At 47.9% G+C, this 13,847-nt stretch overlaps 1 long non-coding RNA gene across 1 annotated transcript, besides 1 other annotated feature; it reads left to right on the top strand.

The window, feature by feature from the left end:
* Positions 1–442: 442 nt before the first annotated feature.
* Positions 443–4,227, top strand: LINC02151 (long intergenic non-protein coding RNA 2151). The gene is made up of 2 exons (NR_174967.1): positions 443–584; positions 3,396–4,227. It is a non-coding gene; the product is annotated as a long intergenic non-protein coding RNA 2151 (long non-coding RNA).
* Positions 1,233–1,925: an enhancer, noted in NCBI's record as "H3K4me1 hESC enhancer chr11:116369918-116370610 (GRCh37/hg19 assembly coordinates)". NCBI's record gives its function as "activates a minimal SCP1, AML or CMV promoter by ChIP-STARR-seq in naive H9 embryonic stem cells {active_cell/tissue: H9 hESC(naive)}" and the evidence as "EXISTENCE:reporter gene assay evidence [ECO:0000049][PMID:30033119]".
* Positions 4,228–13,847: the final 9,620 nt, after the last annotated feature.

The following is a 13,847-nucleotide window of genomic DNA, read 5'->3' as shown; positions in this document are numbered from 1 at the left end:
CCCCCGGCCTGCGAGAGGGAGGGTGAGCCGGCTGGGCAGCCAAGAGACGCAGAGCAAAGGCGTGATTGATAATTGGCGACTGTAATTCTATAATTCATCTCCCTGCACTGCAGTGAAATTAAAAGAGTTTAGGTTCCCAAGCATAATGATCATCAATTAAACGCCGGGGAGATTTAGTGTCCTCATTTGAATTTTGTTTTATTTATTTAAATGTGTCTCTTTTACAGGGAGGGGCCCGTGGGGAGTGGGAGCGGGTGCACGCGGGGGCCGGGGCCTTCCGGAGGCTGATGCGGGCCCGGGCGCCTCCAGGAGCTGGGTCGTGCAGGCTGCCTGGGGGCGGCTGAGGGTGGGGCGCGGCTCGTGGGGCGGCGGGCTTTGCGAGACAGGGGATCCATCATCCCGGGCCTAATCAGTTAATACTGATAAACTGCCAGCAATAACTGCCAATTGCGCCGCGGTTTTGGAGCAGCCAGTTCATTCATTTAGGGAGTGCGGCGGCTCGTGGGGGGAGCGCTCCTGGCCCCGAGTGTTTCTGTCTCTGCTCGGGAGGGAGGTGATGCATGGGCCACCGCCGACTTCTGCGGGTAAGGGAAAGTGAGCACTGGGCAACTCGAAGGTGGCCGGGAGGCTGTGGGGGTGACTGTGGCCTGCGCCGGGCCGGGCTGGGCTGTCAGAGAGGCCCGTCTGGGTCTTGGCGTTCAGGATGGTATGGAGGTGACATCCGCTTTGAGGAGGAGTCAGGGGGACATGCTCCCGGCCAAGCTGTGGGACCTCCTTGTGCAGAACCACAGAAAGATGCCTCAGGAATCAGGGGACCTCTTGCGGCCCCGCCACTCACTGCCCAGCTGCATGACTCAGTTTCCTCCTCTGGAAAGGAGCAGGCTGGGCTAGGAGGCCTCTAGAGGGCCTTCCAGCTCTGTGGCCTTCCTCCAGACCCCTTTCCCTGCTGGCCTGGAGAAGGACGGAGAACACGCCCGGGTCCTTCCTGTGCACCAGTGAGTTTGGGGCTGGAGGCTCTCGGGGTGCCATGGCTCCCCCTCCCATGGGCCCCTCTGCTCCCTCCCCATGCTGCTGTCCATTTCTCAGGGTTGGTTCCTGCTGCATTTTCCCGACGTTCTCTGATTCCGACTTCTCACTTGCAATCAAGAAACTAAAAATAGAGCATAAAGGAGCTCTCCAAGGGGGGTGGGTGGGGGTGGCAGAGAAGGAGGAAAGTGCTCTGGTTCCCCGTGGGAATGAGACCTCATCAGCTCTACATAGGGAGTTGGAAATCCAATCCAGACCATTGGCAAGGGGCGGGGTGTGAGGTGAGGAGCCTTCCTGATCAACCAGGTGGAAAGCTTGAAAGAAAATAGTGTGTGCGCACAGGGAGGGAGGATGGGGAGACAGCCCTGGGGTGGCTTTCTGGGCGTTTCTGGTGCTTGGGGGTGAAGCCCCTTGCATGCCCTGCACAGGGCCCGCCCCTGGGTTGGGAGAGAGCTGAAGTCACTGGACCTGAGGGCGCACAGCCAGCCTGAGGGCCTTGCCTTCTAATTCATCCGCCAGGAGGGGGCGCCCTATTCTAATGTTCGCAAAGGCGTCTTTTGTTCAAGCTGAGGCGCCCAGAAGGCTCGCGCAGGCCGGTTATGCAGGTATCCTCTTGGGCTTGTAGGCAGACAGGAACCCCGTCAGGGATTTCTTCTTGAGGACCTCAGAACCGTGTCTTTTGTTTTATTTTTATTTTTTTGAGACAGGGTCTCGGTCTGTCTCCCAGGCTGGAGTGCAGTAGTGCCATCTCGGCTCACTGCAACCTCTACCTCCTGGGCTCAAGGATCCTCCTACCTCAGCTTCCTGAGTAGCTGGGGCCATAGGCACAAGCTACCGTGCCCGGCTTAATTTTGTATTTTTTGTAGACACAGGGTCCGCTATGTTGCCTAATCTGGTTGTGAGCTCCTGGGCTCATGCAATCCACCTATCTCAGCCTCCCAAAGCGCTGGGATTACAGGTGTGAGTCACCTTGCCTGGCCAACCACGTCTTTCAGATTGTAAGGAGTGGATTTGTTCAAACTTGATGACATAAGATGGGCAACTTGGAGGTATTGGGGCTAGGAGTGAAATCAGAGAGAATCTGGGCTTTCAGACAACATCTCCAGAACACAGGCACCCCGTTCCCTGGGCAGGGTCCCCTGGAGCTCAGAAACATGAGTGGACGTGTGTAAATTACTCAGCTGGTCTTGGGAAAGAAGCCTGATTCGGGAGTCTGGAGCCCCAGGCTGCAGTCCTGGCTGTACTACTCTATGCCCTTGGGCATGCTGCTTTTTTTTTTTCCTCTGAAACTCAGTTTCCCCCCTGTCTAATAAGATGAGGTACATAAAAGCTCTTAGAGAGCAGGAAAGGTGCTCTATAAATGCCCAGGATTATGGTTATAACGTGCAGCTTTTATGCGTAAACCAGCAGCAGCCCACCTTATCTTCTAAGGGGCAGTGCAGAGGGAGGACTTTATCTCTATCCTTGCCTCATGCAGCCTCGAAGGCCCCTTTTCTCCCACGGGGCTATCTTTAGGACCCATGATGCTTCCCCTCCTGGGGTAGGAAGGGAAATGGCTGATGTTAGAATCCCAGACTTGCCGGTTTTTATACCACCGATTCAAATCAAGATACTGTCTTTCAGCCTCCTCTCTGCCTTGCTAAACCCATTCCGGTTCCCTTACCAAGCCGATTTCTATCGGGGGAGAGTCAGTCCTTGAAAACATGGGGATTTCTCCAGCAAGGAATGGCCATGAGGAGCCAGGCCATGCTGGGGTGGCCATCTGCACACTCTGATGAGCCCACGCTGGGCTCCTCTCAGCCTCATCTGCAAGGCTAGCCCCTTCTAGTTTCTAATTGCTGTCTCATCCAAAAGGCTGAGGGCTTTCTGGATTGACTAAAGAAGAGATGAAGGTGACCCTAGGTCCCCAGGAATGCCCACCTCCCTTTCTGGCTCCATCCTTTTTCACCCTATGCCTGGTGCCTCCACTCCAGGCTGTTTTGTTTGCTCTGAGGGGTTAGGTGTGAAGGGCTGTTCTGTGGCTCCCCAGGACTGTCTCTGGACCCTTCAGGCAGAGCAGCAGGTGTATTTGGGATGAGAAGCTCTGAGGGTCAAGGACCCTACAATTTTCTGTGTGGAATCCACAAGGGCACCAAGCCCAAGTGAGCATAAAGCCCAACAAAGGCTTTTTAAAAATTACCATGTGCTGTCCTTTTCTCTGATTACAAAAGTAATACATATTCATGTTCAAAAATTTGGAAAATACAGAAAAGCACAAAGAACAAAAATTCATCCATATTCCACTACCTAGAAGCAGCTACTATATCTGAGGTGTATCACCTCCCTGTCCTTCCCCTTCTCACTGTCTCTTTATCTCTGTCTTTTAATAGGAGTCTCATGCAGTAATACTGTTTTGTGGCTTAGTTGGTGACAGTGTATCAGGAGCATTTCCCCACCCAACAAAACTCATTTGATGAGTGTTTCGCCAGGTGGGAAACATGGAACAGCAGGCACTCAGAAGAGATCTCAGCATTGACAGACCTGGATTCTCTCCTGCTTCCAGTGGAGACAGAGGCCCATAAAATCCATTGGCTGGAGGGGTAGCCCTCGAGTCAGGGCAGTGTGCAACCCAGCGTCTCAAGGATGTGGCAGGATGTGTGCCAGGCTGATCTTGCCCCATCACCTGAGGCCCTGTCACTGCATCAGCCCTATTACCCTCTGGGCTCTTGCCCTGGCCATAGCAGGCCAGTAGGAGGTAGGGAGAGGGCCAAGGTGCCAATCACTTGGAGGCTATAAAAAAATAACACCAGAAGATAAACTAGAAATGACACTAGAAATGTAAAGGACTGCCCCATCAGTCACTTGGGGTGACAGTGGAGGCCAAGACCCCTCTCCCTTTAAGGGATCGGCTTGAGTAGTGACCGTAACAAGGAAACCATGTCTGCTTTAACTGCAAAAGTTTAGTTTAGCTAAGCTGGCTATGCAAGTCTGAGGCCCTTGGCCTCTCCAAATCCTCAACAAGGAGCCAGAGAATCTTGGTTTGAAGACCTTGCCTGCACTCATTGCCCATCTTATCCACACAGCACACCAGATTCACCTTCCTTAATGCCTTCTGATTGGGTCATTTGACTCCTGGCTCAACAAGAGCCTGACTCTACCTATCCAGACCTTTTTCTGTCTTCAAATTCAGCTCAAGGTATGTTTTCCTTTTTCAACAACAAAAAATCAAATAACTGGATTTAAAAATTGGCAAAGGACTTGAATAGACATGTCTCCAAAGAGGATACACAATTGGTCACCAGGCATATGAAAAGATGTTCAACATCACAAATCATTAGAGAAATGCAACTCATATCCACAGTGAGATTCCACCTTACGCCCCCTAGGATGGCTACTGTAAAAAAAAATAATAATAAATAAATGATAACAAGTGTTGGTGACGATGTGAAGAAATCAGAACCCTTATGCACTTTGGTGGGAATGGAAAATGGTACAGCCACTTTAGGAAACAGTGGCGATCCCTTGAAAAGTTAAAAATAAAATTACCATATGATCCATTAAGTCTACTTCTGGTTATACATCCAAAAGCATTGAGAGCAAGGTATTAAAGAGATACTTGCACGCCCGCTTAGCAGCAGCGTTCGCGACAGCCAAGAAGTGGAAGCAATTCACATATCCATCGATGGATGAATGGGTAAACAAAATGTGGTCTACAAACACAATGGAATATTATCAGCCTGAAAAAGGAGGGAAATCCTGCTACATGGTGCAACAGGGATAAACCTTGAGGACATTATCCTAAGTGAAACAAACCAGTCAGGAAAAGACAAATGTCATATGGTTCCACTTATATGAGATACTTAGAGGAGTCAAATTCATAGGAACAGAAAGTAGAATCGTGTTTGCCAGGGGTTTGAGGGAGGGGTTACGGGGAGGAGTATAGAGTTCCAGATTTGCAAGATGAAAAATTTCTGGAGATACATGGCACAACAATGAGAAGATACTTAACACTGCTGGATTGTATGCTCAAAAATGGTTAAGACAGTACATTCTGTGTGTGTGTGTGTGTGTGTTTAACCACAGTTGGGAGAAAAAAAGATACTCTTTTTACCTTCTCTGGCCAGCCCAGCAAGCAAAGAGCTCTCCCTTTCCAGAGCCTCTGAAGTGCTTACACTCTTTACTGCTGGGCCCCTAAACTAACCCACTACCTCTTCATGTATTCACATGTGGTCTTCCTTTGGGGCAAGTTGTTTGAAATCAGCAATAAAATTTTTGCCTTTTATTTTCCCCATGGCACCTAACACGGTGATTTACATAAATTCAGCCAATTCAGTCTATCAGCTCAATTAATATTTGCTGATTGACTGAATTCATACTTCCCTTGATAAACTTTGGATGGTGGGCTGGAGGGTAATGGATGATGAAGCAGCAAATACAGAGAAAGGTAGGAGGTGTCAGTCCAAACTGTACCATTTTGTAAGCTCCCTGCTATTTTGCAGACCTTGGTCAAAGTGAAACATTTCACAGGGGTTCGGACCGGGAGAAACATCCTGCCTGACCACTTGACCACAAGGCAGACAAAGGCCCAACTAAAGAAACATCCCTATCATATCTGGCTGGGTAAAGGTCCAAGGAACACCACGATGACATCTCCCCAGAACAAGGGCTAGAACTGCCTCATCATGGGAACATCTTACCAATATCCTACAGGGTAGCAAGCCATGCTGCCCAGACCCCTCCCGCCCAAGTGGTGGGCTCTGGCGTTAGCCTGCATTTGCTGTTGAGTCACACTCTTTCCGTGTGTGTGTGTGTGTGTGTGTGTGTGTGTGTGTGTGTGTGTGTGCGCGCGCGCGCGCACGTCTTTAACCCTTGCCTTCCCTTCAAAACCTAACAGGAGGCAGTGGGCCTGGGTATGAGTATTTTTCCACATATTGCCCCTGAATTGTTTAAGCAGCTGCAGTCTACTTATGGTTGAATACACACACACACACACACACACACACACACACACACACACTCACACACACACCTTTTGCCTGCACACAAAGACCATCAGATTGGGGAGTTGAAGAGACTTTGGATTCCTAATCTTGAGTTAGAGTTAGACCTCAGAAAATGATGTTGTGGACTCTTGAAGGTTTTTTTTTTTTTTTTTTTTTTTTTTTTTGAGACGGAGTCTCGTTCTGTCGCCCAGGCGGGAGTGCTGTGGCGCGATCTCCGCTCACTGCAAGCTCCGCCTTCCGGGTTCACGCCATTCTCCTGCCTCAGCCTCCCGAGTAGCTGGGACTACAGGCGCCCGCCACTGCGCCCGGCTAATTTTTTGTATTTTTAGTAGAGACGGGGTTTCACCGTGGTCTCGATCTCCTGACCTCGTGATCCGCCCGCCTCGGCCTCCCAAAGTGCTGGGATTACAGGCGTGAGCCACCGCGCCCGGCCTCTTGAAGGTTTTAGAAGGAAAAACGTTGGAAGGCATTAACCCGGACCACCCGGGACATGTACCTAATTTTACTTTTCTTTAGAATTCCTAGAGAAACCCATCCACAACTCTCTTCAGGAACACAGATCAGTGTCTTACAATTCTTCTGCTGGCAAAGTTTTTTCTGACCTCTCACCTCCATCCCTCCCGCTGCCATGTAAACTTCTCTGCTGAAATGGAGAACATTCTCTTGCCACCTTATCCCTTGTAGGCGCTTTTAAAAATTGGACTTTAACAGAATAAAGATCCCTCACATTAGGTGTCTGTAATGTTCTCTTTGTAGGGTGGATCCTCTGCCAAACTAATTGTCTGGTTCTCTTGAAAAGCAATCTTTTCCCCCAGTTCATGTTCCATTTTTGACCTAACATGGCCATTCTTGGCCTTTTGAATAGGACTTGCTTCTAGTCGGGAATTAAATTTCCATAGTAACGCTAGCAGCCATCTTAAAAGTCCTCTCCCCTGGCTCTATTTTAGTACTATGCCATCTTTCTCATACAGGCAGGTGGTTTGCTTGGTTATAAGCCGTGTGTATATTTATTCTCATTTTAGTCAGGGCGAACGACAGCAGTGGCAACTCAAACTACTAACAGGATGAGCAAAAAATACACAATGGAGTCTGCCTGCTTTTAGTTCCTGAGGGGCCTGGGCTCCTGAGGAAACATGGGTGTTTACTTTTTAGCTTCAGAGCATTTTTTTCCATAAAACTGGGGATTGGAAGTTTTCATCTTATTTCTAAATCACCTGGGCCTTTTTCTCTAAGCGGGACACCCTGCTAAGCTTGACACAGGAAAAAGGCCTGAATCTTAGCTTTTGGGATTTGTCTGTTTGTTTAAAGTTTATTATTTATGGCTGTTTTTAAGTAAACCATAAGACCTGTGAGGTTTTTTTTCCCCCAGAACTTACCACTCAGCTCCCTATCCGTAAGTCTAGAAGGATCTTTGTTGACTATGGAATCAAATCCAAACTCTAGAATGTGACACTCAGGGCCCTCAATTTGCTGGCCTCAACCTACTTACTCAGTCTTAACTTTCTTACTTTCTTAGGTCCCCCTGCCCCCACCGCCAAACAGGATAGCATGTTTTCAGAATACCCCTGACACTGTCACCTCTTCGCCTTGTGCACCTGAACCTACAATACCCTTTCTCCCAACACACCTGTGGAATTTCTTCCCCCTCTAAGGCAGGGCTTCCCAACTGGTGTGTTGTGAAGTAGGTTACAGCAGGATTCATTCCCCTTTTCTCTGAGGGCAGCCAGATGGTGGGAGCCACCACGGAACCCCTCCTGGCCAGTGCTCCTGTCCATGGCAGCATTGTCCATGTGTCCCAGTAAGCCACCCAGCTGTTACCATTTTCTGTGAGTGCCATGTGATGAAAAGGGTGGGATGCCCTGCTTTTTTTTTTTTTTTTTTTGAGACGGAGTCTCGCTCTGTCACCAGGCTGGAGTGCAGTGGTGTGATCTTGGCTCACTGCAACCTCCGCCTCCCTGTTCAAGCGATTCTTCTGCCTCAGCCTCCTGAGTAGCTAGGATTACAGGCACCCGCCACCACACCTAGCTAACTTTTGTATTTTTAGTGGAGATGGGGTTTCACCACATTGGCCAGGTTAGTCTTGAACTCCTGACCTTGTGATCCACCCGCCTCAGCCTCCCAAAGTGCTGGGATTACAGGTGTGAGCCACTGTGCCCAGCCTGAAGCCCTGCTTTAAGGCTCAGCTCAATGCGGTCTCCTCCACAAAGTCTCTCCTAGACCCTCCAGCCAGGAGATTCTATCCCTGACTTGGACACCTCCCCCAGTCCTTCTGGAGTGTCTATGTTCTGCTTTGTATCAAGGGTATTCATTGCTTTTCTAGGCATCTTGCCTCCTTCCTCCCCCACTAGGGATTGGCAGCGTTGAGAATTCTGTTCTCATTTAGCTACAAGAAACGGTGTCTAGAACTGTGTCTTGCATGGAATTGGGACTCCTTACATGTCTGTTGATTTGACATCTAGAGCTCCTGTAACTGTAGGTTGTCTTGCAACAGCAACCCCCTTAGATATACTGCTCTTATTCCAATGACCCCACCACTGTTCAAAATATCTCTGGAATTTCTTTTCTGGAATTATTTTCAGAGAAGGCTTATGAGGCAAAGAATAAAACTAGTCTCTTTTCTTTAGAATCAAACAACGTGTATTTCATTTTCATTTTTTGTCATTATGAGTCAACAATTTATTTATTTATTTATTTATTTATTTATTTATATTTATTTATTGAGATGGAGTCTTACTCTGTCGCCCAGGCTGGAGTTCAGTGGTACAATCTCTGCTCACTGCAACCACCGCTCCGATTCTCATGCCTCAGCCTCCTGAGTAGCTGGGATTACAGGTGCACACCACCACGCCCTGCTAATTTTTGTCTTTTTAATAGAGATAGAGTTTCACCATGCTGGCCAGGCTGGTCTTGAACTCCTGGCCTCAAGTGATCTACCCACCTCCAAATATTTGTTGCACCTGGCCAACAAGTATTATTGAGCCCCAGGTACATGGTTTTTTTTTTTTTGTTTGTTTTTAATTAATGTAAACTACTTGTCTACCTTACTGGCAAGATTTGGTTCCAAATAAGTTGGGTCTTTTTCCAGAAATTGAATCTATCCTCAAAACAGTAGAGGTTTAGCATCTTTGAGCAGGTTTGCAAGGGATAAAAAACTGCAACAAAACAAAACAGAACAGAACAGAACAAAACAAAACAGCAACAACAACAACAATGGCCATGGCAGCATCACTGGAATGTGAGGCGCCTTCCCAGGTGCCACCTTAAAAAGACAGCATTAACTTGGATACGTAAACTCTGGAGTGCTTATTAAAAAGACTATCTCCCTGGCTTATGTCGCTCTTTGTACAGATATGTATCATTCGGAGACCTAAGGGACATTGAGTGTGGTTTGTTTTTTTAAGGAGTTTATACTCTGAAAGAGGATACATAATTCAAAGACTCTTGTGAGAAATCTCACTAGAATTGTGTTGACACCTGAGAGAACCTCCAAACTCATGAGTCAGTATGGTATGTTGTTAACATTATGTTATTTGGAGCCAACAGATGCAATTTATGTTGTGGCTCTGTTGCCCAGCTGGGATACCTTGGGTAGTTACTTAAAATCTCTGGAGCTCAGTATGCTTGCCTGTATAATGGGAGGACGATGTCTACTTTATAGGGCTGTTGTAAAGATGAATATTGACTGTAGCACACAGCTATTCTGATTTCAAAGAAAACATCTACAAACATTTGGATTATTATTATTTTTTTCCCCAGCCAATAGAGGGCTAAGGAATAAATTGTTGTCTTCAAGCTTTTGGAGATTTACATTACATACTGAGTTTTAAGATGTTATCTGGTTCCTGTGAAGAGAATACTAAAGATTTGCCATTTGTTTGCTATAGAAATGATGGGAGCTGGAACTTCCTCTGAAGATGGTTAGGTGGAGGAATAGACGAATGGAGAAGACTGGGGAATTATTTATGGAGAAGTGGGAGCCTAGTTTGCAGAGTGTATTAAAACTATTCCTAATTTCTTCGGTTGGGACCTTCTTCTAAGCTGCGGGTTCTGCTTTCGAATGCAGCTGCCACTCCTTCCCCAGGCTTGGGCGCTAGAGCCTGCTAGTCCAAGTTCAACTTCTCCAGAAAGCGTTCCCAGAGAAACATGATTATGCTAATAGATATGGGCACTTTCTAAGTGCCAGGCACTGTTGTGGGCATTTCACATAAATACATTTATTTAGCCCCAGGAGGGGCTTAATGGTCTCTGTTTTGTGAATGAGGAAACAAAGGCCCAGAGAGGTGAGCAAAGTGATGAAGGTCCCATCGCTAGTTAGTGATCAAGCCTGGATTTGAGCCCAGGCAGTTGGGCGGCAGAGCACACTGCCTAGTACCACCCAACATCCCGGCAGCCTCCACACTGCTTGACCCCACCCACTTTAAGAATTAACAGGTGGGGTGTGGTGGCTTATGCCTATAGTCTCAGCACTTTGGGAGGCGGAGGTGGGTGGATCACTTGAGCCTAAGAGTTCGAGACCAGCCCTGGCAACATGTCGAAACCCCATCTCTACTAAAAAAAAATATATATATATATATATATTAGCTGGGCATGGTGGTGTGCACCTATAGTCCCAGCTGCTAGGAAGGCTGAGGTGGGAGGATCACCTGAACCCAGGAGGCAGAGGTTGCAGTGAGCCAAGACTGCATCACCGCATTCCAGCCTGGGTGACAGAGCGAGACACTGTCTCAAAAAAAAAAAAAAAAAATTTACAGATTAGTCCAAATGAATTAATTACTTATTTATCATGTTTATTGTTTGTCCTCCTTTCGCCAGTATCTAGGCTCCATGAAGTCAAGAATTTTTGTCTTTTAAAATTAACTGTTGAATCTCAAGTACCAAGAAGAGTGGAAGCATATGAGATGCTTAATAAATATTTGTGGAATAAATAAAGTTGTTAATACATTGCTTTTTAAAAACCTTTTTTTTTAAAGCACATTGCTTTTTAGGAGTTCAGATCTATGTGTCTCTGGGCCTTCTGATGGTCCTGTTTTGTACAGGTGAATTTCAACCAGTGTTACTAATCAAAATGCCAACTCTTTTCCAGGGAAAAGCATATTCCCAGTCTGAAGCCTGTTTTCTGTGGGCACTTTTCTCAGTTAGAGACAATCACAAGCCTTGGAAATCAACTGGTCTTGGGGTTGTCATGGTAAATAGGGCCCACAGATGTGATTTTTCTGGTGTGTGTTTAATGTTTTTGTAGTTGAGTGTCTATGGGTGGGATGTATGCTTCTCTCAGCCACAGTCCCCTATTCTCCCTGGTGAGAAGAGACAGCTGTCCACTCATCCATTTCCCCTCCTAGCACCTAAATGGGGCTGGATGATTCTAGTCCAACTCCATTAGTTTTAGTTGAGGAAACTGATGCCCAGAGGTGGGGGTGACTTGCCTGTGGTCATGTAGCTGTCACAGTCTGGCATGCAACTCCCATCTGCCTCCCGGTCCAGTGTGCTTTCCCCTACACCATGTGCCGGGGCAGGAATGCTCTGTCTGATTAGGAATGAAAGCGGATGTCATTGTTCCAGAGGATAGGGAGTTTGGGGTGAAGGGACAAAGAAGAGTTGAATGGTGACTAGCACCTCTCCTTGTTCTCTGCCACCACACTGCCACTGTGCACATTGGCAACCCCTTCCAATGATGGCATTTTCAGCAAATGGGAGGGGAATAGTAGGTTTCTCATTTTCCCCCCACCTCCATTGTAATTAGTTGTCAAAAAATTTTAGATGGAAGGGGGAATGCTCAGGTCCTGATGAGATGATACAGCAAAGATTTCATTTCATCTTGAATTTGACATTAAACTTTAATAGTCTCAAGGACAAGAAGCCAAGAGATATCAGATGTAATGAGATAAAGCAAAGTTTCTCTGACAGCAAATTTGATCACAAATGGGCTCCGAGATTGCTTCTTTGATATAAATGAAACATAATTCATCTTCCAGTGCCCCGAATGAGCTTTCAGGCTGGGGATGAAGCTGGCATCTCTCTTGCCTGGCACTGACAAGTGGCAGCACGGGGAGGAGGTGGAGGCTTGGCTGGACCCTGCCGGGCAGTTCGGCAGCTGGGTCTAGAAGAGATGAGACAAGTAGCGACGGAAGCTGGAGAGTGTCCGGAGGCTCAGCCAGGGGCAGGGAAGGGAGACAGCGATGTTTTGGCTCAGGAGGCTGTCCTCAAACTCAGAATGGCCACGACGGTGTCAAACAGTGGGAGTCCCCTCACAGGGACAGACTCTGTGGGAAACTGCTCTCCTGACAATTTCCTGGTTCGGGCATGACAGGGGCACAGACATTTATTCTTGAATGCAGTGTTCACTCTTTTCTGACATGTCTTCTTGAAACAGCACCTTCCTCTCCAAGAGCCCTGTGCCCAGTGCCCACATTCACACCAGCACGGTGCTGAGGTGGGGACGGTGTTAGGAGGTCCAGGCTCCCAGCCTCCAGCAGCTCCCCTGTGTCTTCTCACTCATGCAGAAATGACCGTGCGAATGCCTTCAAAGCCTGCTCACCCCCTTTCTACAAGATTGCTGCCCTCAAGTCAGCCTTTTGCAGAAGTTCAGCTGGCGCTGCTTGTTAGGTTCCTCAGGTTCTAAGGTCCCTAATTCTTCCTCCTCGGGTCACTATGATCCCTCCTCCTCCTCAGGTCACAAACCTGTAGAGACTTTAAGACAAATGCCTTAACCTGATGCCCCAAGCCCTCTACCACCTGGTACCTTCCAGCCCCGCCTTCCGTTCCCCCTCCTGGGCATCATTATCATGGCCACAGCAGCAGGAGAGTGGCCCCAGGGCCAACCACACCCTACTCTGTGCTTTTGCTCTTGCAGTCCCGGCAGGAAGCCCTTCATCCGGTCACATTTTACTCGCCCTTCTTCAACCTCTAAAGTTACATCTTCTGAGAAGCCATCCCTCCCCAGCTCTGCCAGCAGACAGCTTGTCTCCCTGGGGTTCCCAGACCCGTTTATGGCTCCGAGTCTGTCATTGCTGTCTCACTGCTATTCCTGCATATATGTGTCTCCTTCAGAGCATGAGCTCTTTTGGCCATGCCTTACTGATTTTTGTACCTCCCTGGGTATGTCATGGTGCCTGGCGTGGAACATGTATCTACTGAGGATGCATTCAATGAAATTGAATCCTGGCCCATGGCACTACCTTCTGTGCCAGGCTCAGCTTAGCAGATAGCCGTCCCCTGGGGTTGAGAGGATCAGAACACATGTGCAAATACTGTAGTTTAAAATTAATAACTTTGTCTAAGTTTTTCTTCTTGTTCTTGTTCTTTTGTTTTGTTTTGTTTTGAGACAGGGTCTTACTCTGTCACTCAGGCTGAAGTAAAGTGGCACAATCATAGCTCACTGCGGCCTTGGACTCCTGGGCTCAAGAGATTCTCCTGCATCAGCTTCCTGAGTAATTGAGACTACAGGCGTGTGCCACCACACCTGGCTAATATTTTATTTATTTATTTATTTTTGTAGAGACGGGGTCTCTCTATGTTGCTCAGGCTAGTCTTAAAGTCCTGGCCTCAAGTGATCCTCCCACCTCAGCCTCCCAAAGTGCTGGGATTGCAGGCATGAGCCACCACACCTGGCCCCAAATTCTTCTGGATTGAGTTTGGGATTGCGAACTCGAGACCAAATTTGAAACAGAAGATCTGCTGACATCATCTCCTCCTTCCTGAGGGTGAGAATGAGAACTCTGGTTAAAGCATCTTTACCTTTCTCACCTGAAGACAGTCTGAACACCCTGGTGGGGAGGGAGCTCTCCTTGGAGAGGGGGTATTGAATTTGGCATTACTTAGGCTGAACAAAGATGTGGCTGG

The sequence above is a fragment of the Homo sapiens genome, chromosome 11 (genome assembly GCF_000001405.40).
Source record: "Homo sapiens chromosome 11, GRCh38.p14 Primary Assembly".
Classification (NCBI taxonomy): domain Eukaryota; kingdom Metazoa; phylum Chordata; class Mammalia; order Primates; family Hominidae; genus Homo; species Homo sapiens.
The sequence above is the reverse complement of the archived record's forward strand: the minus strand, read 5'-3'. Positions and strand labels throughout refer to the sequence as shown.